Source organism: Homo sapiens, chromosome 3 (genome assembly GCF_000001405.40).
Source record: "Homo sapiens chromosome 3, GRCh38.p14 Primary Assembly".
In the NCBI taxonomy this organism is placed as follows: domain Eukaryota; kingdom Metazoa; phylum Chordata; class Mammalia; order Primates; family Hominidae; genus Homo; species Homo sapiens.
This window is the reverse complement of record NC_000003.12, coordinates 149,725,741-149,753,052: the sequence shown is the minus strand read 5'-3', so window position 1 is coordinate 149,753,052 and position 27,312 is coordinate 149,725,741. Positions and strand designations below refer to the sequence as shown.

The following is a 27,312-nucleotide window of genomic DNA, read 5'->3' as shown; positions in this document are numbered from 1 at the left end:
GGATCCAACCCTCTCCATCTAACTCTGTCACAGGCTTTGTCACATAATCTCTGGAGCTTTGTGTCTTATCTGTAAAAACAAAGCCATGTTTGTTGAGGATATTAACTGAGATACATTTAAGATAACATAGAAGCTCTGGAAACTATTAGCTTTATAAAAGTGTCAGTTGCTGGACTTGTCTATCAGTTTCCTTATCTCTAATGGAAATTATAATGGAACCTACCTCATAGGGTTCTTCTGAACTCCAAATGTATTTAATAAATGTAAGAACACTTCCTGACACGGTTAGTGCTTAACAAATGTGAACTATTGATATTATTAATGTATGCTCCACGAGGGGGCGTGTCGGATTTGAAACACCTTTTCATCTCCCATAGAGCCTAGCACCTTGCACCCAGCAGGCGCTCACTGCATCTTTGCGGGATGATTTCAATGTTCTGACCTCAGCCTGCGCTGCAGGGAACGTCCGAGTGTAACGCGTTAGTTCGTAGGCCGGAACCCAAAGCTCCGGACGCTGCGACGCCGGAGCCTCTAGGCGCCGGGACACGGGCGCCGGAAGTGGCGAAGGCGGGGTCGGCGCTGCCGGGTGAAATCGTAGGACAGTGAAGATGCTGCTGGAATTGTCCGAGGAGCATAAGGAACACCTGGCCTTCCTGCCTCAAGTGGACAGCGCGGGTCAGCGGGCGTGGGGGCGGTGTTCTGTGGGCTGGGGAGGAGGTCAAAGGCAGCGCCTGGCACTCAACAGCCTTCTGACTTTCATTGCAGTGGTCGCCGAGTTTGGGCGGATTGCTGTGGAATTCCTGAGACGCGGCGCAAACCCAAAAATCTACGAAGGCGCCGCCAGTAAGAAGGGAAAGGGGAAGGCTCCGCAGGCTTCTAGGGCGGTTGCGAGCCATTCCCTGTCTCCCGGGAGAGAAACGGATTATTGCGAGTCCTAGGGTCTTGTTCCGATTGTAGTAGAATAAAACCAGCAGAGCTCTTCAGTCAGGGTGCAAATCCTGCCCGTCCCTTAAGTAGCTGTGAGATTGTTAAAGCTTCTATTAAATCAGTTTTCTCATGGTAAAATGTACATAATACCACCTTACTTTCAGAAATACTGAAAAGTGTTTTGTATAAATATACCAAAGTCTGTGGAATAGCTGGGTCAACTGTAAATTGCAAGTATTTGGTTATCATTATTAGTTGTTCAGATATCCGCTTTTGCTAAAAAAAAAAAAAAAAGTGTTGTTTTACCCCTGGGTAAGAGGCAGTCTCTGGGATTAAGTCAATCCCTGTCGAGTTCCTCTTCTGCCAGACTTGAAGGAGCTACGTATTCAAGAGAAGGGCTACGCACCTGATACTAGTCTCCACAGTTCTGCATTTTGTTAAGGTTACTTGGTGGGAAATACCAAAGGCATTTGGCTGGGAGTGGAATGACAAGGAGCAGGAGCCTCTGGCCAACTTACTGTTTTTCATGCAGTGTTTGAAAACATGTAATAATGAATAGTGTTTATTTTTAAATACAAATATGAACAAGATAAATACTACAGTAGTAATTTATTTGCTCGTTTTTACTTTTCTTTCTCAGGAAAACTCAATGTGAGTAGTGACACTGTCCAGCATGGTGTGGAAGGATTAACGTATCTCCTCACTGAGAGCTCAAAGCTCATGGTAAGGGATTTTCTGGACTGTTTTGTGTTGGCTGGATTCTTAAGAACGGTCTGGTGTACTCTACATCATAGTCCTGGCAGGTACCTGTGTGTTTTAATAATGTTGTTAATGGTTTATAATTGATTTTTTGAAGACATACCTAAAAAATAAAAATCATATCATCTGCTGATATGAATACCTCTTGCTAGTATAAATAGCTAGTATAGAAGTACCTCTAATTCTGCATGTTGTTAAACCATATATGTATCTTAAGAAGATACATAAGAGGAGGGAGACTGTATCAGTATTTTGTTTGCGTATCAGCAGTATCTGGCTTGATGAAGGACAGGAAGGGAAACTGGGCATCTTAACAATTTTTTCCATTTTATACTTTAGTAAAGTACTTTTATGTATTGGTAACACAGATTTTGGAATGGTGGTCAGTGGTTAAGGAATGCTGTTTCTTTTACTAGACAGAATAAATTAGAGGATATCATATTCTTTTGTGTATTTCAATTATTTTAGCTAGACAAAGATAAATTTTGATGTTCTTTTAAACTCAATTCACTTAGATTTCTGAACTGGATTTCCAAGACTCTGTTTTTGTTCTGGGATTCTCTGAAGAATTAAACAAATTGTTGCTTCAGCTTTATCTGGACAACAGAAAAGAGATCAGAACGATTCTGAGTGAATTGGCACCAAGCCTTCCCAGTTATCATAACCTTGAATGGCGACTAGATGTACAGGTATAGCATTTTTAAAATTAACTTAACATAGAATATAAGAATTATTTTAGGTTTGTGTCCTGTTTATTGTATTCTTTACCACCTTAACTAAGATGCGGTTTGAAACTTTGTTTTTTTAATGTTCATTTTTAAGCCATTTCACAAATCATTCATTTTCTTTTATTTTCAGTGTGTTCAAATCAGTTTAATTTGCAAAGTTTGTAAGAAATTGGTTATTTTCGAAAAGGAGATGGTTATATAGATTTTTTAGGTTGGTGCCTAGATGTTTAAAAACTTTTCTGTTTAAATTTAACAGATGTAGAAAAGTGCACAGGTCAATGTACCGCTCAATGAATTATCACATGGTGCATTTAACTGTGACTCACACCCCAGAAGCATCCTCCTTGCCTCCTAATTACTGCCCCTTCACTCCTTTCTAAAGGTAACCAGCATCCTGACTTTTAACACAAATTACATTTACCTGTCTTTTAACTTTGTATATATGGAATGACTCAGTAAATATTCTTTTGTACCTGGCTTCTCTCACAATATTCTTTTTGTGAGATTCATCTTTCAGTTGATTTTAAAGTCACAGAAACGAAAGGGTGTATTCAGACCATTGCTTATAATCCTTTATTAAGCAGAGAGAGATGAGTTAGTAGATGTGTATTGAATGCCATCTATTTGCTGATTAGAGCTGTGCTAAATGCTTTGAGACACAAAAGAAGTGTAAGATACTTTCTCAGCTGGAAAAGATCGTATCACCTTGGTTAGGGATATTAGGCATTCTCAAAATAACTAGTAATTAAAGGTAGTTATAAAATAAGGTTCTTGATGGGGAATAAAGAATATAATTATATGAATGAAGATGACAACTGTTTAAAACAAAAACAACAACAACAACAACAACACGTGTAGTTGTGTGTATGTGCTGGCGTGATCCAAGAAAGCTTCCAGCAAAAGGAAATGAAATTTCAGAAGGATGAATGAATAGAGAAAATTAGGGTAAATATTCTTAGTAGAGAAGGCAGAATATGTTGTAAAAGCCCACATGGATATGCAAATGAGCATATGAATATGTATTATAGTGCACTTGTTCTCAAATTTGACTTCATGTTGGAATAACCTGGGGAGCTTTACAGAAATTCTGATGTTTGTGTGTTATACCCAGAGATTCTGATTTATTGGTATAGAGTTCAGCCTGAGCATCAGGATTTTTTAAAGCTTCTTTTCACCCAGGTAATTCTAATGTGCAATACAGTTTGGAAACCACTGTTGTAGTGGCTTCTTCTGATTCAAATGGAGGTAATGTCCAGATAGGTTATAGAAATTTGGTTAGAGGGGTTTAGACCTGAAATAGCAGATAATAGGAAGCCCTTGTAGATATTTGGATAGGGGAGTAACATTAAGGCCATGCACGGTGGCTCAGCACTTTGAGAGGCCAAGGCAGGCGGATAGCTTGAGGTCAGGAGTTCGAGACCGGCCTGGCCAACCTGTCTTTACCAAAAATACAAAAATTAGCTGGGCATGGTGGCATATGCCTGTAGTCCCAGCTACTTGGGAGGCTGAGGCAGGAGAATCGCTTGAACCCGGGAGGTCGAGGTTGCAGTGAGCCGAGATTGTGCCACTGCACTCCAGCCTGGGCAACAGAGGGAGACTTCGTCTCAAAAAAAAAAAAAAGAGAGAGAGACAGTAACATTAAAAAACAATCATGTAGGAAAGTTAGTCTAGCACCCTTGGGCAGAGAATGAAAGTGGGAATTCAAAATATTAAGAGCATCAGGCCTTACACATTATTTTTCCTCTATGTGAAATGCGTTTTCTGCTTTGCTGCTACCTCTTGACTCGACTCTTTCTTATCCTTGTAAGTCTCCGTTTAAATCAGGGCTCAAAAAACTATGGCCTGTGGGCCAAATCTGGCTTGCTACCTATTTCTGTAAATAAAGTTTTATTGGGACACAGTCACGCTCCTTTGTTATGTATTATTTATGGCTGCTTTCAAAGTACAAGGGCAGAGTTGAGTAGTTGTGCCAGAAACTGTATGGTCTGTAAAGCCTAAAATATTATCTCGTTCTTTATAGAAAGGGTTTGCTGATCTGTGCTCTAAATGATGTCTCCCTTTGGGAGAAATGCCTCCTGCCACTAGACACAGTTAAATTTTGGTGGCATTTGTGTTTTCTTTTCGTGGCACCTGTGCTTCCTCTTTTGGCAAGTCATCTCACTTATATGTAGCTGGTTTTTTGGTTTTTTGTTTTTTGTTTTACTAAACTGTAAACACTGGGATAGCAGGGACCATGCATGTCTTATATATTCTCTTTCTTCAAAGCCTCAACATCTCTATGCTCCACATGCTTAGGTGTTGACCTTGCTTCCAGCTTGACTAAGAAAAGAGAAGCAATCGGAAAGAACTCCCACATGTACCTGTCAACCACATCTTTCAGCCTGTATGAGGACCCACTTGCTCCACTTGTCTTCTCTCCTGTTCCTCTTGATGAAGTACCCATGCTCTTATCTACAGGCAGCCTTTTCCCTTGTATACCTCAATCCATCCCCATTTCCCCCCATGAGGACATAGTTCTAGCAATTATTCCCTCTCTTACCTGCATCATACTTTGTTTGCCTCTACTGAATCGATTATTCCCTTCTGTGCACAGTCAGAAACCCAGTCTTGACTCCATGTACTCCTCCTACTGCTGCTCCATTATTTTGCTCCTTTCTATACTAAGCCTTTTTTTTTTTTTTTTTTTTTTTTGAGATGGAGTCTTGCTCAGTCGCCCAGACTGGAGTGCAGTGGCGCGATCTCAGCTTACTGCAAGCTCCGCCTCCCGGGTTCAAGTGATTCTCCTGCCTCAGCCTCCTGAGTAATTGGGATTACAGTGGGATTCCAGGCATGTGCCACCATGCCTAGCTAATTTTTGTATTTTTAGTAGAGACAGGGTTTCACCACGTTGGCCAGGCTGGTCTCGAACTCCTGACCTGAAGTGATCCACCTGCCTCAGCCTCCCCAAGTGCTGGGATTACAGGCATGAGCCAGCACGCCCAGCCTATACTAAGACTTCTTGAAAGAGTTGTCTCTCTGTTTGTATATTCTCTCTTCCCGTCATCTCTTAAACTCTTCCTAATCAGGCTTTATAATCTTCACTCTACTCTCGTAACTTACTCAAGGTCATGGCTTTTTAGTTTTTATGCCATTCTGTTTATTGACAGCATTTGTCACAGTCACGCCTTCCTACTTGGAATACTTTCTTTAGTTGCCTTCTGGGAAATAACTTCCTGTGATTCTCATTCAACTTCACAGGCTCCTCTTTCTCAGTCTCCTTTGCTGATTCTATCTAATTGCCCTTTAAACATTGGGATGCCCCAAAGGTCAGTTCTGAGTCTTCATAACTTCTCCACTTACATTCTCAAGCTGGTTTCATCCAATTTGAAGTCTTAAATAATCCCCATATTCTTGGGATTCTCAAATTTATATCTTTAGCCTAGAACTGTCCTCTAAACTTCAGAATCATACAGTGGAAGCCTATTTGACATCTCCACTTTGGTAATTTGATAAGCATTCAAAGGCAATATGTTCCAAACTGAATCCCACCTTTCTTACCCACTGATACGGTTTGGTTCTATGTCCCCACCCAAATCTCATCTTGAATTGTAATAATCCCTCTTGTCAAGGGTGGGACCAGGTGGAGATAATTGAGTCATAGGAGCAGTTTTCCCCATGCTGTTCTTGTGATAGTGAGTTCTCACAAGATCTGATAGTTTTATAAGGGGCTTCCTCCTTCATCTGGCGTTCATTCTCTCTCCTGCCGCCCTGTGAAGAGGTGCCTTCTGTCATGATTCTAAGTTTCCTGAAGCCTCCCCAGCCATGTGGAACTGTGAGTCAATTAAACTTCTTTTCTTTCTTTCATTTTTTTATTTTTTGAGACAGAGTCTCGCTGTGTAGCCAGGCTGGAGTGCAGTGGTGCAATCTCGGCTCACTGCAAGCTCCGCCTCCCAGGGTCATGCCATTCTCCTGCCTCAGCCTCCTGAGTAGCTGGGATTACAGGCGTGTGCCAGCACACCTGGCTAATTTTTTTTTTTTTTTTTTGTATTTTTAGTAGAGACAGGGTTTCACCCTGTTAGCCAGAATGGTCTCGATCTCCTGATCTTGTGATCTGCCCGCCTTGGCCTCCCAAAGTGCTGGGATTACAGGCGTAAGCCACCGTACCCGGCCTTTTCTTTATAAATTACCCAGTCTCGGTTATTTCTTCATAACAGTGTGAGAAAGGACTAATACACCCCCTCTCTACTGAAACTACTCCTACCATAGCCTCTCCCATCTCAGATAGTACGTACATTCTTTGAATCACACAGGCCAAGTATTTTTGGCCTCTTCCTTGACTCCTCTCCTTGCCCTTCATCTAGTCCATCTGCAAGTCAGTTTCTTAAAAAGGTATCCACAGTCTGACCACTTCCCTTCTATGGTTTGAAAAAAAAAGTAGGAAATTTCACACCAAAATTATAATTTTTAGCAATTTTTGAAAAATTAGAAGTCAGGCAGCACTACAGCCATGCTCCCTCATGGCATTAATCAGTTCAAGATAGATTGAATTTAAGGTGATGACAGCTTATATAAGTTGCAATCTCCACAGTAGGTGAGGATGTGGGCCTAACACTTGGATGCCAGATTAGTTCAAATCACAAATGAGAATGATTTCTCTGACATCTGAACTGGATCTCATTGGTTGGTCATGGCTAATAGAAATAAAAGCCAGTAATTAGAGTAAGAGTGGTTTCAGGAAAAACAACCACTAACACAACACAATGTCACTGAAAGTAAGAGCAACATTTAAGAATAAAGGGATCATCAGGAGAGTAAGAGTTAAGACAAAAGGCTTAGGATTTGGACAGAAGAAAGATGTACCTGTCTTACTGTATCTTCAAATTTTACATTTGGGATAGAGTGGGTGGCATAGAGAGAGAATATTCCATTGTCATGAGCATCTTCAGGTACATGCAGATAAACAATAAAAAAGATAATTTCTTATGTCCCATTAATCCATCCTTGTTTCTATATCTATTCAGTTATCAAACCATTTATTGAATATCTAGTGCATGCTAGGCCTTGTGGACATAGCAGTGCTGCCTTTAAGTTCTCACAGTCTTACAGTAAGAGGGAGACCAAAAAATAAAATTTAATTAGAAATCAGCAATTATAATCAAGTGTGATGAGTGTTTTAATAGGCATGAACGCAGGATATGGTATAAACCAGACTGTAGGCTCCAGGAGGGCAAGTATTGTGTCTTGTTCATTACCATGTGCCCAGCACAATACCTGGCATATAATAGGCATGAATCAGTGCTGAACAGAAAGAGTGGGTGGCAGGGGGAGTTAAGTGACTTCTTAAATTATTTATCATATATTTCTTGTACCCCTAACATGTGCCAGGTGCTGTAGATACGGCAAAGAACAAAACACAGTTCATGGTCTGGGGGACATCATAAGCAGCAAGTCTTGTAGGGTTCATTGGGGAAATGACTGTGGATAAGCCTTTATACTTAGGTCCTTTAATAATAACCCGGTGGAGATGTGGGGATGGTCATGTATGTGGCTCAGAGGTAATTTATCTTGTAGATCTTTACGTCTCTCTTGTGTGCGAATGTCCCCTGACTTTTGGGGTCCAGTAGGCTTTAACAGTTCTTTTTTTGGCTTTATTGATTTGCTTTGAGTTTGTCCATTATGAAGACATTTTTGAAAGTTAAAATTAAGAAGTTGAATTTTCTAAAATTAAACTCGAGGGCTCATTTACCCACTGAAGTGAGTTTGAATCACTGCGCTATTGCTAGGACTAGTACAGTTTAAGGTTGAGGGTATACTGAATGAATGTTGCCACTTATGGAGAAGTGCATTTAAGGGCTAGAAAAGCTACTCAGAGCTCATTGAGTTCCTCAGCTTATTTGCTGAAACCATTGCATAGGATTTTAACTGGAGTGGATTCTTCTGCTCATAGAGAAATGCATATCAGATAAGACTAGCTAAATGGCTAGGAAACTTGTAACTACATATGGCGCCTTTCATGTTTAAGTAACTGACTTGTCTCATGGAGACTGGTAGTGATGGACAATTACCACCTAATTATTATGCAGTTGTTTATGGGAATCAAATTAATCATCATAGCTTAGTGTCTAGTAGGAACATTTCCCCAGACTTAATAAATTGCCAACACAATTGATGTCCTTGTTAATAGCATTAGTAACTGAATGTACCACCATCAGACTGATGCAGGAGGATGTTCCTTTTAGGACTGGTCCATTTACAACTACTTCAAAGCATTCTTTTCCTGTCTTGCCCACATATTGTTTGCTCTGAGGCTAAATAGAGAACTGAATTCTTTTAGGAACTGTAGCTACATGAAACATAATTTATGTATCCTGTTTCCTACTTGATGTTTTTTGCCAGAATACCCTTTTCAGTGCCTTGAGATATGGCCCTTCAGAGTAAACATTTTTTTCTTTTTCTTTTTTCTAATTTGCATTGACATAAGACATTTTATTTTAAAGTTGCTTTTATTGTTGTTATATTTACAGGGAGGAGGACAGAATCTCATCCCCAATAAAAAATAAGTCCATATCAAGAACTTTGTGGGCTACTGTTCTTTGTCCTGTAGTACTGTCATTCAACTTCTTTCTGAGAAAAATGTCTTACTAGATGTTTGTTAGGGATGTTATGTAATCTCTTTTCTAGAACTGTTAAAGAATAGTATAGATATTTGTATAGGTATTTAATTTAGATACGTTGTCTAAAAATTGGAGGATAGTGGCTTTAAGTCTTTCAACAAAAAAGTCATGGCTTAATTACACAGCAAATACACTCAGTCCCTGTCTGTCGGTGCAGTCTCTCTCTGTCAGTGTAGAGGAAAAACAAATATAAACAGAGCATAATTGAATAAATAAGTACTGTTTTCAATTATCATATATATAATTTGCATATGTGTCATCTATAGTTATTTGTACTACAGAGATGATCTTAAACTGGTACTTTAGCCTGCAAGTACCTATTTTATGTTTGGGGACCAGCTCACCCAAAGGGATTGACTTATTGTTTGCAAATTAGTTGGGGACATTAAATTTCAGCCTTGGATCAGTATCTTGGGTTCTTTTGGAAGCCCAGGTTACCTATAATTATTTGGAAGAAGTTATTAGTCAGAATATTCTATTTTACAGAATTAAATTAATCCTGAAATCTCAGGTTTAGATTTGTTACTCACTTGAAAATCCCTTCAAGTTGGAATCTAGTCTTCTTGACATGACTCCACTATTTTTGATAACTTTTTTGCTTTCTCCTATAACAAGATGTTTCAGGCTCATCTTGTACAGTTTCTCTCCTAGACTTCAAGTCAGCTATTGCTTTGGATAGTCCTGGTTCCTTTTAATGGAGAATCTAAAGATTGAAAGGACCTTGAAGTTGGTCATTGTTTATAGTTTTGTGTTTTCTTCTTTTAAAAATATGTCAGTATTACTTATTTTTTAAATTTTGGAACATATTATACAAATGAAAGGTTATAGATACCCAGTTTAAAGAATAATGATAAAACAAATACCAGTACACCCACCACCAAGCTTAACAAATAAAACCAGTACTTTTGAAGAACCTGTACCCAATTGTAACCATCTCCCAGCCACCTGAAGGAAACCGTTATCCTGAATTTTCTGTGAATCTTTTCTTTTTCTTTTTCTTTTTCTTTTTTTTTTTTTTTTGAGATAGAGTCTCACTCTGTTGCCCAGGCTGGAGTGCAATGGCACGATCTTGGCTCACCACAACTTCTGCCTCCCAGGTTCAAGCAGTTTTCCTGCCTCAGCCTCCCAAGTAGCTGGGACTACAGGCGCGTGCCACCATGCCAGCTAATTTTTGTATTTTTAGTAGAGACAGGGTTTCACTATGTTGGCCGGGCTGGTCTCAAGCTCCTGACCTTGTGATCCACCCATCTCAGCCCCCAAAAGTGCTGAGATTACAGGCGTGAGCCACCGTGCCTAGCCCCTAATCTTTTCTTTATAGTTTTTTTAAACATAAATTTTGTCACCAAACTGTATATTTTTTAAACTTGAACATATTCTGTGACTTGCTTTTTTTCAACATTTTCATTTCTTCTATGATAACCCATGTTGCTGTAGTTCATTTCTTTTCTCTGCCATTTAGTAAGCAATTCATTGTGTGATTATTCTTGGTTTATCTATTCTGTTAATGAATATTTGATGTATTTCTAATTTTTGGTTCTTGGAAACATACTATCATGAATAAATGTATATAAGAGGTTAAGGTATATGCCTAGTGGTGGAGTTGCTGGTAATGCACATTGTTTTCCAAAGTGATTTTCTCATCGCTTACCAGGAGTGGGTGAGAGTTCCCATTACTGCCACTTGCAATGCTTGGTATGAACAGGTTTTTAATTTTTGCTAGTCTGATATTTGTAAAATGGTATTTCATGTAGTTTTACTGGCTATTATCCTGATGTTTAATAAAGTTGAACATATTTTTCTATATTCATTTGTCTTCTGTAAAATGCTTATTTAGACCTTCTGTATATTTTTATCTTGGGTTTTGAGGTTTTTTTCTTATTAAATCAGAGGAGTTCACACATTCTGGATACTAATCTTTTTTTGGTTATATGTCTGTTGCAAAATCCCTTCTCTCGGTTTATGACTTGTTTTTTCACCATCTTTAGGTATCCTTTGAAGAAAATTGAGTTTTAATGTAGTTAAATTTTACCAGTTTTGTCTTTATGGTTTGAGCCTTTTATATCATGTTTAAGAAATCTTCTATACCATAAAATTGGTATATATTCTCATTATTTTCTTTTCAAAGGTTTTAAAGTTTACTTTTCATTTTGAAGTCTGTAATTCATCTGAAACTTAATTTTTGTGTATGGTTTAAGATAATTATAAATATTATGTATTCAGCATGGTTATTAAATAGTTACTGTGCTCTTATTTCATTTAAAATCAAGCTTGCAAGTAGAAGTCTCAGGCAACAGATTAAACCAGCAGTGACTATAAAGCTACACCTTAATCAAAATGGAGATCACAACACCAAAGTTCTGCAGACAGACCCAGCCACCCTGCTCCATTTGGTTCAACAACTGGAACAAGCATTGGAAGAGATGAAGACAAATCACTGTAGGAGAGTTGTTCGCAACATCAAGTAGTACCAGTTTTAAGGTTTTAATTCATTTGAATCACTTATGAATTGATGATATACAGCAATTACTTTTCAAAATTAATTTTTTATTAATTCATGATGATAAATACATAGTATTCCTCAGTATCTATTCCAAGATACTGAGGTCATAATCAGAAGCTAAGCTGGGTGCAGTGGCTCATGCCAGTTATCCCAGCACTTTGGGAGGCCGAGGTGGGCAAATCATGAGGTCAGGAGATTGAGACCTTCCTGGCTAACATGGTGAAACCCCATCTCTACTAAAAATATAAAAAATTAGCCAGGTGTGGTGGCACGCATCTATCAGAGTCCCAGCTACTCAGGAGGCTGAGGCAGGAGAATCGCTTGAACCTGGGAGGTGGAGGTTGCAGTGAGCTGAGATTGTGCCACTGCACTCCAGCCTGGGTGACAGAGTGAGACTCCATCTCAAAAATAATAATAATAATAATAAAGTAAAAATAAAAATAAAAAAGTAATCAGAAGCTAAAGTAAAGTTCCTTTCCTGGTGCTAACTGTGGTCTTCTTGACACATTAAGATGTATTTTGTATTTTAAGAGTCTCATGCTCTACCGTTGGAACTAGCCAGATGGCCATTATTTTGTATTTTAAATACATAAATAGGATTGAATCAACTAGAAATGAATCTATATGTTCTGTATATATGAATGACTATCTTGTTTTTGCTACTTCTTTTGACTGCTTAATTTTATTATTTTCATCTTTATTGATCAAATTTGAAAATAAAATTCACAATGTAATACTACTACTATGCAGAATTTTCTAAACAGTTCAGTATTTTTGACTTTTAAAAACACCCCACAGTGTTAATAGCCACAGAATATTGAACATCAATAGGATTTTTAATGCTATATTGTTATAGGCAGTTTATTCATTTTTCTTTGTATATGAAGATGATAAGTATCATATTGCCTAAGTTTGAGTGATCATGGTTAATTAATTGGCTTAAATAGTACTCAAATTTGTGTGGTCGTATATTGTATTTTATCAAGGACTAATTCTTCCACCATACCCAAAGCATCTAGGAGACACTCTGTCATTTACATTTACAAATAATGGATGCAGAGAAATATAATCAATTCTTGATTGTCCTGGATACAAATTATAGTCACTTTTTATAATTTGAATAAACTATGATGAGGGAAGGAAGGCCATGTTTATTACATTATAGGCAACTATCCCTTCTCAAAACATAACTTGATTTATGTTTTGTTTTATTTTTTAGTAGGGAACCAAAAGCTTTTGGTCTGAAAAACTCAGGTGCTGATTTGTCAGGTCAGCCTGAGAGAGTGCAGAGATACTGAGGTCAGCTTAGGGAGAAGAATTGTATGGAAGGGTGGAAATGAGGGTTCAGTCTTAACTATGTGTCCAAGACCTTATCCTGAGAGTCTTCATGGAATAATCTAGAAAGGGCTGTAGAAGCAATCAAACTCTAAACTGCGCTCTAGACTTTGTCAATACTTTGCTTCGTAAGAATTAGGGATTTTCATATCAGAGTGATACCATGTTGCAATCTCTTTAGAGAAGAGAGAGCCTAGCAGGGAATAGGCTAGTGGAAGAAAAACATACTTGAGATGGTTACCCATTGGTCCCTGCAGGCATCTGGGCCACCCTTTTCCTGTAGGTATATATTCTGCCGTTGTGAAACAACTATATTATTAGATGTCAGCAAACTATAATCAGAAATAATTTTTAATTATAGTGGCAACTTGATTAATGAAGCTCTCATATACAACCTCACAAACAAAAAGAAACTTTATTACGTGAAATAGTAGCATATGTCATTGGGTTTAAAAGCAACATGCCTGCAAAACATATGATAAAAAATACCTCTGTAAGGGTTTTTATTTGTCCACCTTCGATGGAAGGTAAACATGGCTGATCCCAGCCAAGATGAAACAATAGCCCTTTGTCTCCTCAGAACAACCTATCTCCAACTCTTTGTCCACTGTTCTTACCCCAATTAAAACAAGAAAGCATGTGCTAATCCTTTTTTAATTTTTATCAACCTGCCTTGGCCTCCTTTCACTGTACTCCATTATTCCTTCTGTGATGTTCTACCTTCTTCACCTTTTGAGACCAGGGTGAGTTGGGAGCAGTTTGCCTACCTTCTTTTAGAATCTGGGGCTTATCTTTTAGTACAAGCCATTGAATAAGCCTCTTCCTTTTTTTTGCTCAAACATTCCACATCCTTGTGGATTCCCCTGCATTGTTTGTTTTATATAACATTTGATATTTGTTGTAGCTTGTATATGAACATAATTTTCTTTAGAGGTAGTCACTGTTCTCTCCAGTATGACCCAGGTTTCTTGACTCTGAGTAATGCACCTTCTATAACTATCTAAATTTCTATTGAAGCTTTTTGGATTATGAGTATGCTGACTTTTCACGATTGGCTGGTGCATGTTTAGACTTAAATGTCATATCCTTCATGTCTCAAAGCCAAAATAGTAACATCTCATCTCAGAACAGAGCTGTGACCACATGCCAATATATGTGTCACAAAGTCTACATATGTTACATTCCTTGGAAGTCTCCTTAAATGTTTCACAAAATGTCAACAAGCTTGTTTTGTTATTGATATTTCCGAGATTGGGCACATTTAAGACAGTAAACGGGAAAGGTGGTGAAGATGCTATAAGAAGATGCTGTATCTTGAGAATTGAAAAATGAGAATCTGACATGGTTTGAAAAATCATGAAGGGTATATATAAAGGATGCATGTGTAGGAGCCATTAAAATTCATAACAGTATGTGCCCCTTCAGCGTTTTAATCTTATGAAGTGGTTAAGAGATAAGTCTTCGGAGTTGGACAAAAGGATTTGAATTTAGGTTCTGTGGATTATTATGGGTCCTTGATAAATTCTCAAAGCCTTTTTTTTTGTTCATCTCTAAAATAGGAATATAGGATTACCTACCACATTGACTCGTAAGGACTATATGAGACCATGTATATAGAATGTTTAACATAGTACCAGGCTTTACAAAGAACTCAATAAATGTTTACCATTATTGAAATAGTTTTGTAGACTGAGGATCTCATTATTTTACAGCCTTGAATTATGTCCTGTATACTCTGTTAAAGAAACTGGGAAAAAAATGCCAACTGGTTGTTTCTGGGTGGCGGAATTATGGCTGTTTCTTTTCTTTTTTAATTTCTATAGTAAGTTTGAATAACTTTCATAACATTTAGGAAAAAATATTAAAGGAAAGAAAAAAGATCAGGGAATTTAAATATATTTTTAGTAGATATTTTTATCCAAACTTAATTCTTAGAATGATAAACACATAGTTTACCAGAAAACTCAGCTGTTCAAAACTACTCAGTCCCCAAAGGACTCAGGTAAACAGGCTGAGGGTTTTATATATAGAGCGCTCTAGAGTTTCCTTTTTCTGTCATTTTTTTCTCCATGTTAGTGAAAAAAACATGGGAATCTTAAGACATTAAGCCGTTTCTCCTTTTCTAGGTAATATTACTTCTAAATGGAGAATTGTTTGTGTTGTTTTTCATCTCAAATGGAAACAGTATTTCTTTGAAGTTTTTCACATCCCTTATGATCAGGAAGTTCTGTCAGCTGCTATATTAAAGTCCTCCTGCTATAACTTACTCAGTCTTCTCTGTACTTATATGAATTTGATTAAGTATCTTCTTTTCCAGAGTTTCCATAATCATAGATTACTCTCACATCTTTCTTCCACCAACAGTAGAAAATATTTTGGTGGAAATGTTATGATACTACATTGCCTCTAACTTAAATATGTTCACTTTTAAAACCATCATGACTGTTATATTCAAACTCAAATACTTTTCTTAGAACAAATGAACCTAACTCCACCATTAACGTGGTTAGTTCAGTAAGCTTTATACATTTTGAAAGTAATGTTTGAATTATAAAAGCAGAATAAGCCCATTATTTTTCAGCTTTCAAAAAATTATATAAAGATGAGAAAAAATACTATATGGCACTAAAATGTGTATTTAATGATTTGATCACAGAGTAGTAATGGCTCTTTGTTCTAGATTTTTACAGCTCCTCTCTACCCAGGAACTCCATCTATAACTTAAGTATGCACAACAGCCATGAGTCCAAAAGTTTTGACATACCATAATGGGCGAATATAGAAAAAGTAATTTCATATCCTTAGTGGGTTAAAAGGCAGTATCAATAATACAAATATCTATGTTAATGTGCTCTAAAACTGGGCTTTTACTTGAGTTGTTGCCATTCTAAACCCAAGCAACTTTTGAATAAGATGAACTTTTTATAATTATAATGTAAATTATGTTTGTTATCATTAGAAATATTACCAATTATATGACCACCAGAGTGAGAGACTGTGTTTTTTTATTGTGCTTGAGCCTAAGTTGACATTTTTTAGTTGCAAAGACTACACTTTTCATTTTCTTCTCTTGCAGTTATCATATCCTCTGTTGCAGAAGAGTCTGCCCAGCAGCCAAAAAGGGAAATAACACAAAAAAGATTTGTGCCTTATCTCACCAACCATATGAGGCCTTTTAACTTTTAAAATTTTTTTTACTCTGCTCTGTTACACTAAGCTATAAACTACCCACTTATGCATGGCATTATATTGATAACAAAGCACATTTTGAAATCTTTTCTGGCTTTTTTACATGGTACAGATTCAGTTTTGTTAATAGTAGGTACTTAGAGTGACCCATATTGTGTGTTGAACAAAGGATAAAGTTCTAGTCTCAGAATTTAGAATGCTCTTAGGCTGTTCCATCCTCTAAAATAGTTTAATCCATAAGCTCATTAGGCTGCAGAAAGGAATCTCCTGAGGGAGTTATTCTGAAGAAGGGAAGTTCCTCTGGTCTGGTGTCTACTAGAATTGCTTTTCCTTGAAACTCTGCCTTCTTCTGGAAGGCAGAAATCTAACATGATTCAATGGCTACAGCTGTGGAAGTGTGCAGAGGAAAGGTGAAATCATTATAGAATACTGAGGAATACTTTGACAGAAATTATCCTTACTCTTTTTCCATTGAAGTGGGGTCCCCTGAGGTAACCAGAGGTGTGATGGGAAAAGCAAATCAAGTTATTTTTTACCTGTGTGCCAATGTTGTGATTGTCATAAGTCCAATGAGAAGTGGATGCCTGTGGTTTTGAAGGAATGTGCTTAGTTCACAGAACGAAAAGGCTTCTCAGTTAACTCGAAGACTAAAAGCACACAGATTAAAATTCAGAGAATGAGGAAAAGAAAATCCAGGGAAGTCTGAGTTTCATTGGAGCAAGTATAGATGGTTAGGATATGATTTCCTGGCATGGTCTGAAAACCATATTCTTTCATTCCAAATAAATAAAAAATTCTTACAAAGCTCAAGTGAGTTTAAGTGCTGCACCATAATAAAATGGCTTGATTTGCAGCTGAGACTTGGCACAATTCATAGACTAAAAGAAGAGCTTAAGAAAAGCTACAGGCATTTTTTTTTTTTTTTAGTATTTGGGGGGAAAAATGAGCAAGTCCCCATGTACTTTTCAAAAAGGCAAAAATTATTTATCTCTTGGTATGAGCAATGTAATTAAAACCTTTTTTTTATGTTTAGGCTTTCAAGAATATAATTATTGGGTATTCTTTTCTATGCTTGTTTCATCTACTCTTTGTTTTTACCAAGGGATAAATACTAAATTCCATGCCTTTCTTGGGCCCTTAAAACAATTTATTTTCATGCCAAACCTCTCATTAAGCCTCCTCCCTTTCTTTTTAAAATTTATTTTTTATTGAGATAAAATTCACATAAAATTTACCCTTTCAAAATGTACAATTCAGTGGCTTTAGGATGTTCACAAAATTGTGCAACCATTACCACTATCTGATTACAGAACATTTTTATCATACCCAAAAGAAACCTGTAATTATTAGCAATCACTCTTCATTTTCCCTTCTTCTAGCAACCACTAATCTACTTTCTGTAGATTTGCCTATTCTGGATATTTCATATAAGTGGAATTATATAATATGTGGCCTTTTGTGTCTGGCTTCTTTCACTTAACATAATGTTTTCAAGGTTCATCCATGTTCTAGCATGTATCAGTATTTCATGCACTTTATGACTGAATAATATTCCATTCTATGGATACTCCTTTTCACAGTATTTTAACAAGCCTTATTCTTGGTCTTACTGTGGATTATAATCCATTGCAGTGTATTTTATGTTCATAAAAGAACTAACTGATTTAGTAACATATTTTCTATAATTATGGCTTTTTAGAATTGTCTTCCCAGAATGGTGGCTCACACTTCTAATCCCAGCACTTAGGAAGGCCGAGGCAGGCGGATCACTTGAGGCCAGGAGTTCAAGACCAGCCTGGCCAAATAGTGAAACCCTGTCCCTACTGAAGATACAAAAAATTAGCCGGGCATGGTGGTGGGCGCCTGTAATCCCAGCTACTCAGGAAGCTGAGGCAGGAGAATTGTTTGAACCCAGGAGGCGGAGATTGCAGTGAGCCGAGATCGCGCCATTGCACTCCAGCCTGGGCAGCAAGAGCAAAACTCCATTAAAAAAAAAAAAAAAAAATCTTCCCAGATACAAGTTGGAAGAGTCTGAGAGCAATTTCTTCTTAGCCAGTTATTAGAAGAGTTATTTTCCAGTGGATTGTGTTTTATTTTTAGCCTGATTCAAAAGTTATACCAGCTAGGAAGTTAGATGAACTATCGAAGAGACTTAGCTAAAATCAGCTCTAAAGAAAATTGGACCAGTATTACAGTCAGTCTCCATATCTCAGGTTCCACATCTATGTATTCGATCAACCACAGATCAAAGGTATTCAGAAATACAAAAATAACAATAAGAATAATACAAAAAAATTTAAAATGTAGTATAACAACTATTTACATGTCATTTACATTAGGTATTACAAGTAGTCTAGAAATGACTTCAAGTATAGGGAAGGATGTGCATAGGTTATATGCAAACATGATGCTCCTTGTCTTATGATGGATTTACCTTTCGATATTTTCTGTTTACGATGGGTTTATCCAGATGTAGTCCTGTCATAAAGAGCATATTGAATGCGTGTATCACCATCCTAAAGTCAAAAAATTGCAAGTTGAACAATCAAAAGTTGGGGACTTTCTGTACTACACCATTTTATGTAAGGGACTTGAACATCCACAGATTTTTGTATCCTCAGGAGTCTTAGGACCAATCCCCTGTGGATACCAAGGGACAACTGTATATCCTTTGAAATTTTAACTTAATAGATTTTCTACTAAAGTGAGAGATGTTGTGGGCATTTGGCAGATTTAGAAAAGATAGGAAAGCAACTGAGTATTTATGTCTTCCTATAGTCATCTTGTGTTTTTCAAATTAGAAAGGTAAAAACTATTAAAAATTTCTTTGTCTATAGTGGAATAGAGAAAAGGGCATTTGCTTTTCCATAAGTTCATGCCTCAGAATATTCTAAACAAATTTTGAAATAGCCACATTGGGAGATCTTTAGGACACTGCTCCCCAGATTATGAAGCTGCTTCAGCCACTGCCTTCCAAAGCTTATAAGCTACTGGAGGAAATGGAAAGGTACATAAACATCATCAGTTCAGTTAGAGTGTGTTAGGCAGATGAAGAGCTACAACAAATAAGGAGCTCTGCATTTATAAGAGAGGAGACATTAGTTGTCACTAAGGGCATCAAGAAGGTGCTATTTTTACTGATCATTTTGCTGTTTTGATTATACCCCAATTTACATTGTGAAATATGCTCTTCCCAATTGGCTATAGTTAGATGGGACTGTCAGACATGGGACCATGCTCCCTGCTATCCACACTGAGACTGTAAGTCTCTCCTGGAACTCTGAAACCCTCAGACTTAAAGAGAATGGTTGACACAAATTCATTTTAGTGGCCTGGCCAGATGTTTGATGGCCTGATACATAGCCTCGTGAATCTGCTCCTGTTCCTGTCCTTTATGGACCAGGTCTTAGGTCTGTCCCTTAATTCTGCAGAGTACCTAATGCATTTCCAAAAAAATCATTCTCTGCTTAGGTTACAGTTTTAGGGTCTAACCCTACATGGTGTAGAGTGTAACAATACAATTACATTAATTTTGCAAAATTGCATACTTTATTATACAAAATGGAATTTTTGTAAAACAGCTCCACAAATTGTCATTATCTACAAGTTAGGCTTTTTTTTTTAGGATAAACATACATTGGCTGCAACAAACTCATAGTTAAGATCTCACAGTGTGATTAGGGAGACAAGATTCAAAATATACAACTTTAAAGAGCATTTTTCTTTTAATGTCCTATTATTTGCTTTCTGTACTTTATCATACCTGTAAATTCTTGTCTCTGTAAAACTCAATAATCTGGTGGTTTCACTGTAATTCTTTCAGTATTAATATATTGTGGTCTGCTTGTAGAAATATGATTTTTAAAAAAAGTTGGGCATGAGGGCTCATGCCTGTAATCCCAGTGCTTTGGGAGGCCGAGGCAGGAGGATTGTTTGAGGCCAGGAGTTGGAGACCAGCCTGGGCAACAGTGAGCCCCCATCTCTACAAAAAATCAAAAATTAGCCAGGTGTGGTGGCATGTGCCTGTAGTACCAGCTACTTGGCAGGCTGAGGTGGAGGATCTCTTGAGCCCAGGAGGTTGAGACTGCAGTAAGCAGTGATTGTGCCACTGCATTCCAGCCTGGGTGACAGAGTGAGACCCTGTATCAAAGAAAAAGAAGATAAAATATTAATCATCAAATGAAACAGTGCCTAGAATAGTACCTGGCACAAAGTAGTTAAATTAATGAACAAGCGAATGAGTAAATAAGAGTGATGAGCGGATAGTACGTACAATATACTCTGTGCATGGGCTACTGAGCTCCACAGGAGAACATGAGCAAAACCACACAGATGATCAAGTTTATACATTCGTTGTCATCAATCTCAATTAAACCCTTAACACTGACTGGCTGTCTTACTGTTTCCCTAGTTAGCTGTCTCCCATTTTCAACAGCTATTCCAAAACTTCTCCACTCCTCTTAAACCTCCAATCCACCCGGCACCCCCTCTCATTCTTGGTAGATTGACTCCTCCCTTCTTTACAGAACAAAGAGAGGTGACCAGACAGGAATTGTCTCCCTTCTTCTGACCACCAAATATACAATTCTCCCTGTTCCCTGCACTAATAGTCCTCTTCCTCTTCCCATTCCAGTAGAAGAGGCATTCCTCACATTTCTGGATCCCATTCTTTTCTGACACTTTTGTGACTTTTACTTATTCGTCTTCCTGATATCTTATGTTAGAAAGTAAGCATTTTCAAGTCTATTTCATCTCAATATCTCTTGACCCACATCCCTGTTCAGTTACCATACACCCTCTCTTGTCTCCATTTCAGTAACTCCTTGAAAAAATTTACCTGCCTTCCCAAACCCATCTTGATAACATTTCCAGGAACTTCCGTGTTGCTAAATCTAATGCATACTTTTCAATCCTCATTTTAATATACCTATCTCCATCCTTTGTTTTCTTATTTTCTTTTTTGTCACTCTTCTGTTTTACATGCTACATCTCTAGCACTGCATTATTACTCTTTTTGCAGGACTCTTTTCTATGCTCCTCTTAGTTATAAGTGTTCCCCAGAGCTTTATCCTAAGCCATTTTTCTCCACACATTTTACTAGGTAATTTGGTTTATTCCCTAGGCTTTAATTAACATCAGTTTGCTGATAACTATCAACTATAGATGTTTAGCCCATATTGCTCTCCTGAATTTGAGACACATGTACCTACCACATGTCTACACTTAATGTCTAACAGGTACTTCATACTCAAAATTCATCCTCTCTTACAAACTTACTCTTCTTCCAGTGTTTTCTATTCATGAAATGGCATCACCATCCAAACACTCGCTCAAACCAGAGACATGTGTCACTCTTGGCTTCTCTCTGGCTTCTTAACCACAGCTGGTCAATTACCAAGTCCTATCAAATCTACCTTCCTAAATACATCTTGAATTCGTTCACTTCTATCCATTGCCCCCATGCTCATTGGTCCACCATTATCTCTTGCCAGAGCTAGTGTATCTGCCTGCAGTTAACTGGTCTCCCTGATTTTCTCTTGTCAAACCCCCCATACCCCACAATGCATTCCCATTCCTTGCCCCGAGTCACAATTGTCTTCCAAACATAGAAATCACGTTCTTTGAATGCTGAAAACTCTTCAGTTGATTTACATTGCCTTTTTGATAAGATCCAAACTTCTAATATGACCTATAAAGTCTTTCATAATCTGGCTCCTGCCTTTATCTCCAGCCTCATTTCTTCTTTTTTTTTTTTTTTTTTTTTTTTGAGATGGAATCTTGCTTTGTCCCCCAGGCTGGAGTGCAATGGCACGATCACGATCTCGGCTCACTGCAACCTCTGCCTCTTGGGTTCAAGCAATTCTCCTGTCTCAGTCTCCTGAGTAGCTGGGATTACAGGCACCCACCACCACGCCCAGCTAATTTTTATATTTTTAGTAGAGATGGGGTTTTTTACCATGTTGATGAGGTCCAGCCTCATTTCTCTAGTATTCTCCCCTCCCCTACTATGTTCTTTTAGTTCCCTCACTTCTGTGACATTGAACTCAAAGCTTCTGCCATCTGGACCTTCCTCCATCATCTACCAAGTTAACTCATGCATTCTTCTGGTTTCAGCTTAAACTTCCTTTGCTCCAGGAGGTTAGGAGTCCGTGCTCTGTGCACATAGTGCTCCATGCTGCCTTATCATAGGTGCATTAGATTTTGCTGTAATTACTAGGTTAATTTTCTATTTTTTGTGGACTATAACAACTGCGTTTTTCTTGTTTTCCTCTGTATTCCAGATCTGTCACTGTGTCTGGTACATGGTAAGTTTCTATTAAATGTTGAAGGGTGAAAGGGAGCGAGAGAGAAAGGATTATAATATGGAATAGAGTACAAAATTTGCACACATTTTGCTTTTCTGTCACATCAGTATGGTTTGCATTAACCTCACAAGTTACATGTCAGCTTTTTTTTTTTCTTTAATGGAAAGACATATTTAGGACATGTTGTCTGCAGACCCCACTGAATGGACAGAACAAGATACTTAGACCAGTGGTTCTCAGCCGAGGCTGCTCACTGGAATTACTTGAGAATTTTTTAAAATTCTGATTCCTGAGTCCCAACTTTATAGATTCTGGTTTAACTGGCGTGGCATCTGTTAAAGCTCTCCACGTGATTCTGATGTACAGCAAAAATTAAGAACATGACAGTTTTACTACAGCCATTTCTCTATGACTTGCTTCAATGACTGATATTCAAGCCGGTCGAAGAACAAGAAAATCAAACAGTCCAGATTCAGCAGAACCCTGATCCACCCACGTGCTTTCAATTACAACTAAAAATAGCTGGAACAATTAAAAAAGAGTTTGTTGGTACAAATAACTGTCAAGTCCAGAGGTAGTATTGGTTCAGGCAAACATGATCCAGTGGCCTAGAGATGGCCCCAATGCCCCAGTATCTCTCTGCTTCGCTTTCCTGTCTTCGTTTTCTTTCTCCTAATTTAGACTCTTCTTGTGGCCATAGGTGGCTACTAAAGGCACCAGGAAAATGAGCCCGTCTTTGTCATTAACATCATAAGAAAAGTCTTTCAGATTCACTTTGATTGGACTGGTTTAGGTTACCAACCAATTGCTGCATTTAAGAGGTTGGAATATAGTAGGAGTAGAGTCCTCTTCCCAGGAAACACAGCAATCCCCAAATGAAAGTGGGATCTTTTAGAAAGGAAGAAGGGAGATAAATCAATGCTGAGACTATCAATGTCTGCTTTACCCATACAGTGGTTTTGGCTGGCTGCAGAATTTGGTCACAAAACTGTAGCACTACTTTATAGTACATAGTACAGTACTATAAAGTACATACTTTATAAGTAACCCAGATTTCTACATCAATTCCCACAGTTAATGACTACTAAAAAACTAAGCATGATTAGATTAATCATAACACTGTTTAGTGAGAAGAACTTGAGAACGGAAAATTGATTTGGATCCTGCAAACTTAAGTTGCCCCACGTATGGCTTTTGTTTAGTGCCTCAGTAAACAATGTTTTCTTGCTTCATTTTGAAAAATGAAAAATCTTAGATTCTCCAGAGAGAGTTTGATTTGTAGATTCCCACCCTGCCCCCTGCCCCCAGCTGAGTCACCAGCCAGGAACATTTTGTTAAGGTTTATTTTTTACAATTTTTGTTATGAACGCAAGAGTTTTAAATTTCCCCCCCAAATATTGTTGAATTATAACATTGGATATGCCTTTTCTAATTATATATGCTAAAAGAAAAATACCACACACACACACACACACACACACACACACACACTCCCCTAAAATCCCCTTCCAGGCTGGGTGCGGTGGCTCACACCTGTAATTCCAGCATTTTGGGAGGCTGAGGTGGGCAGATCACGAGGTCAGGGGTTCGAGACGAGCCTGACCAACATGGTGAAACCCCATCTCTACTAAAAACACAAAAATTAGCCAGGTGTGCTGGTGTGGCATGCGCCTGTAGTCCCAGCTACTCAGGAGGCTGAGGCAGGAGAATCTCTTTTTTTTTTTTTTTTTTTTTTTTTTTTGAGACGGAGTCTCGCTCTGTCGCCCAGGCGGGACTGCGGACTGCAGTGGCGCAATCTCGGCTCACTGCAAGCTCCGCTTCCCGGGTTCACGCCATTCTCCTGCCTCAGCCTCCCGAGTAGCTGGGACTACAGGCGCCCGCCACCGCGCCCGGCTAATTTTTTGTATTTTTAGTAGAGACGGGGTTTCACCTTGTTAGCCAGGATGGTCTCGATCTCCTGACCTCATGATCCACCCGCCTTGGCCTCCCAAAGTGCTGGGATTACAGGCGTGAGCCACCGCGCCCGGCCCAGGAGAATCTCTTAAACCTGGAAGGCAGAGGTTGCAGTGAGCCAAGATCGCGCCACTGCACTCCAGCCTGGGCGACAGAGCAAGACTCTGTTTCAAAAAAAAAAAAAGTCCCCTTCCTTCTGCCTATCCCCCAGAGAAGGGCAACCCTCCCTAGTTGAAAACTCACTGTTGTAGAACTGGCTGTCACCAACTACCCTTCTGGTTATAATTTGGCTTCTTAAGTTTCCCATAGACAGAAAATGTGCTAACCAGCAAACTTGGATTTGAGGCTTGCTACGTTATGTTTCCCATTGCAAGTTAATTAATTGGCATTCATCAGCCCTTAGAGTCCCATTGTGTCTGTGTGTGCTAACATTTAAGTTTCTGAGTTAATAAAGCTGAGTACCACATTCCAGAACAAAGCCCCTTCCATAAATCTCACTAGAACCAGAGGTGCTATCCCGTCCTGGTGACCAACCAGTTATTCTCCAAGCCACCCTCACCAGACTCCTTTTCCTCCAATTGTACTAGTAAAATCATTTTTAAAAAAGAAAAAAGAGGCATAAAATAGCATAGGCAGAATTTAATTTACCATCTAGAAATGCAAGATGGCACACATCTGTAGAAACATTGAAAGGAGAACAAGACCTTTAGGTTGCCGTAATCCCAGGGCTGATTATGAGAAGTTCCCTTGAAGCGAGTGCTTGTGAGGAAGAACTCAGTAGCTAGAATGTGAACTTTGAGTAAATATTGGCCCTAAAAATCTCAGTTATCACATGTGGAGGAAGGAAAGAAGCTTGTTACAAGAGTAGAGACTAAATTCACCCACAGGGCTGCAAGTTCCTTTATTCCAGAAAACCACAAAGAGGAATCTTTTAGTGATGCAAACATCAAGGATAAAGCCTTTTTATTTTTTTAGACAGGGTCATGCTGTGTTGCCCAGGCTAGAGTACAGTGGTGTGATCATATCTCACTGTAGCCTCAAACTCATGGCTCAAGTGATCCTCCCACCACAGCCTCCCGAGAAGCTAGGACTACAGGCATGTGCCACCATGCCTGGCTAATTTTTTAACTTTTTGTAGAGATGAGGGCTTGCTATGCTGCCCAGGCTGCTGTCGAACTCCTGGTCTCAAGTGATCCCCCCACCTGGGCCTTCCAAAGCACTGGGATTACAGGCATGAGCTACTGTGCCCAGCCAAAGAGTAAAGCCTTTGCAGAGATGTTGTTTTGTTTTTAACTGTAGAATATCTCAAACTTATACAAAAATACATAGAATAATATAATGAACTCTCAGGTACACGTCACTTAGTTTCAATGATAATCAACTAGTGTCAAATATTGTTGCCTCAAAATCCCCACCCACTTTGCTCTGTGCCCCACTTCTATGTAATTATGAGTCAAATCTCAGGCATCATTTCTGAGATGGAGCTGGTTTAGTTGAAGAGCAATCTTATTCTGACTGGTAATATGAAAATGGTCACTGTGGTAAAAGACTTGCATTTTTTCAGATTACAGTTCCCTTGTGGTTAGGCTGCACTATCCCAGTACAATTTCACTTGTTCTTAGGTGCATGTGATATCTGCTGTTAATTAAGGGATTGTTTATAGGAGAATAAGAGCAAGTCTGAAGACCCCAGGAAAGGTGTGCAGGCCAGATTATCACCTTAAACTTTAGAGAGCTGGCCTGGATTTGGCTGGATATGACCCATACTGGGCCATGGGAGGCCCTTACAACCACAGAATAAGGAGACCTTTATTCTAAAACTGAAGAACCCAGAAGTGCATGCCATGGCATGCAAATACCGTTACATCAGAGTAATCCTTTTGCTACTCAAGAGGCTGAAGCAGGAGCAATGCTTGAACCCAAGAGTTCAAGATTGTTGTGATCTATGATCAGGCCTGAGAAAAGCCACTGCACTCTAGCCTGGGCAACATAGAAAGACTCCTGTCTCAAAAAAATTTATTTTAATACAAAAAACCTGAAGAACCCTGGCCGGGCACAGTTGCTTACGCCTCTAATCCCAGCACTTTGGGAGGCTGAGGCAGGAGGATCACCTGAGGTCAGGAGTTCGAGACCAGCCTGACCAACATGGAAAAACCCCATCTCTACTAAAAATACAATGTTAGCTGGGCTTGGTGGCACATACCTATAATTCCAGCTACTCGGGAGGCTGAGACAGGAGAATCGCTTGAACCTGAGAGGCGGAGGTTGCAGTGAGCTGAGATCACACCATTGCACTCCAGCCTGGGCAACCAGAGTGAAACTCCATCTCAAAAAAAAAAAAAAAAGAAAAACAGGCTCAGGTGCCACCTGTAAGAGGAAGGAGAACTGGACCCTGCCATGGGAGTTAGGCAGAGAGGGTTCAGGATCAGGCCTGAACCTTCTGATATGCTGAGAAGCCAGTCCTGAGGTTGCAGGAGGTTATTTGCTTGGAGGCTCGCCCCTGGGAGCTAACCATCATGATCCTGTGGGAAAGTTAAATGTTCTCAAGGAGTCCTAAAGTTACTTGTGAGGGAAACCTAGTAAAAGTCTAGACTTCCTGTTGCACCATAGGTAGGATGAAAGTAAAAGAAATCTACTGTCATGATAATTTCCAAGCCCCTTTGAGTCCTGAGCTAATAAATAAATGTAATAAATACATATTAACATTATATATATACTTTTGATGTGGGTAGCCAGTTTCTAGAAGGATACATAAGAAATTCTTAATAGGGTTTCCTCTGAGATGGGGCCAGGGAGGGTGGCCAAGATTTTTACTTTTTACTTTGTACTCTTCTATACATTAAAAAAAGTTTATTTATTATTTATATAATACAAATAAATAAGATACAAATGTGTGTACATATAATGTGTCAGCATATCCCAACTGAGCCGAAAAGTTTATGCCACATTAGGAATTAAATGGTA

The 27,312-nt window shown here is 38.6% G+C and overlaps 1 protein-coding gene across 3 annotated transcripts, besides 1 other annotated feature; it reads left to right on the top strand.

Moving 5' to 3' along the window:
• Positions 339 to 408: a silencer, noted in NCBI's record as "silent region_14807". NCBI's record gives its function as "represses an Ori minimal core promoter by ATAC-STARR-seq in GM12878 lymphoblastoid cells {active_cell/tissue: GM12878}" and the evidence as "EXISTENCE:reporter gene assay evidence [ECO:0000049][PMID:35858748]".
• COMMD2 (COMM domain containing 2) lies at positions 564 to 14,581 on the top strand. Of its 3 annotated transcripts, none has more exons than NR_135149.2 (5): positions 564 to 675; positions 766 to 843; positions 1,568 to 1,730; positions 2,202 to 2,375; positions 11,335 to 14,581. NR_135149.2 is itself a non-coding variant. In NM_016094.4 (5 exons), exons 1-5 carry the CDS (start codon positions 609 to 611, stop codon positions 11,530 to 11,532), a joined length of 600 nt encoding a protein of 199 aa, NP_057178.2. In that variant the 5' UTR covers positions 564 to 608; the 3' UTR covers positions 11,533 to 14,581. The 3 variants fall into 3 exon arrangements, 2 of the variants coding, with proteins under 2 accessions (NP_057178.2, XP_047304200.1); NM_016094.4 differs by having other exon boundaries at positions 1,568 to 1,650; XM_047448244.1 differs by lacking the exon at positions 11,335 to 14,581 and adding an exon at positions 2,671 to 2,891 and having other exon boundaries at positions 1,568 to 1,650.
• The last annotated feature ends 12,731 nt before the right edge of the window (positions 14,582 to 27,312 follow it).

Coding starts and splice junctions, on each gene's coding strand:
- COMMD2 (NM_016094.4), top strand. CDS start 609: ATGCTGCTGGAATTGTCCGAGGAGCATAAGGAACACCTGGCCTTCCTG. Junction 676..765: donor GCCTCAAGTGGACAGCGCGG/GTCAGCGGGCGT, acceptor CTTTCATTGCAG/TGGTCGCCGAGTTTGGGCGG. Junction 844..1,567: donor AATCTACGAAGGCGCCGCCA/GTAAGAAGGGAA, acceptor TTTCTTTCTCAG/GAAAACTCAATGTGAGTAGT.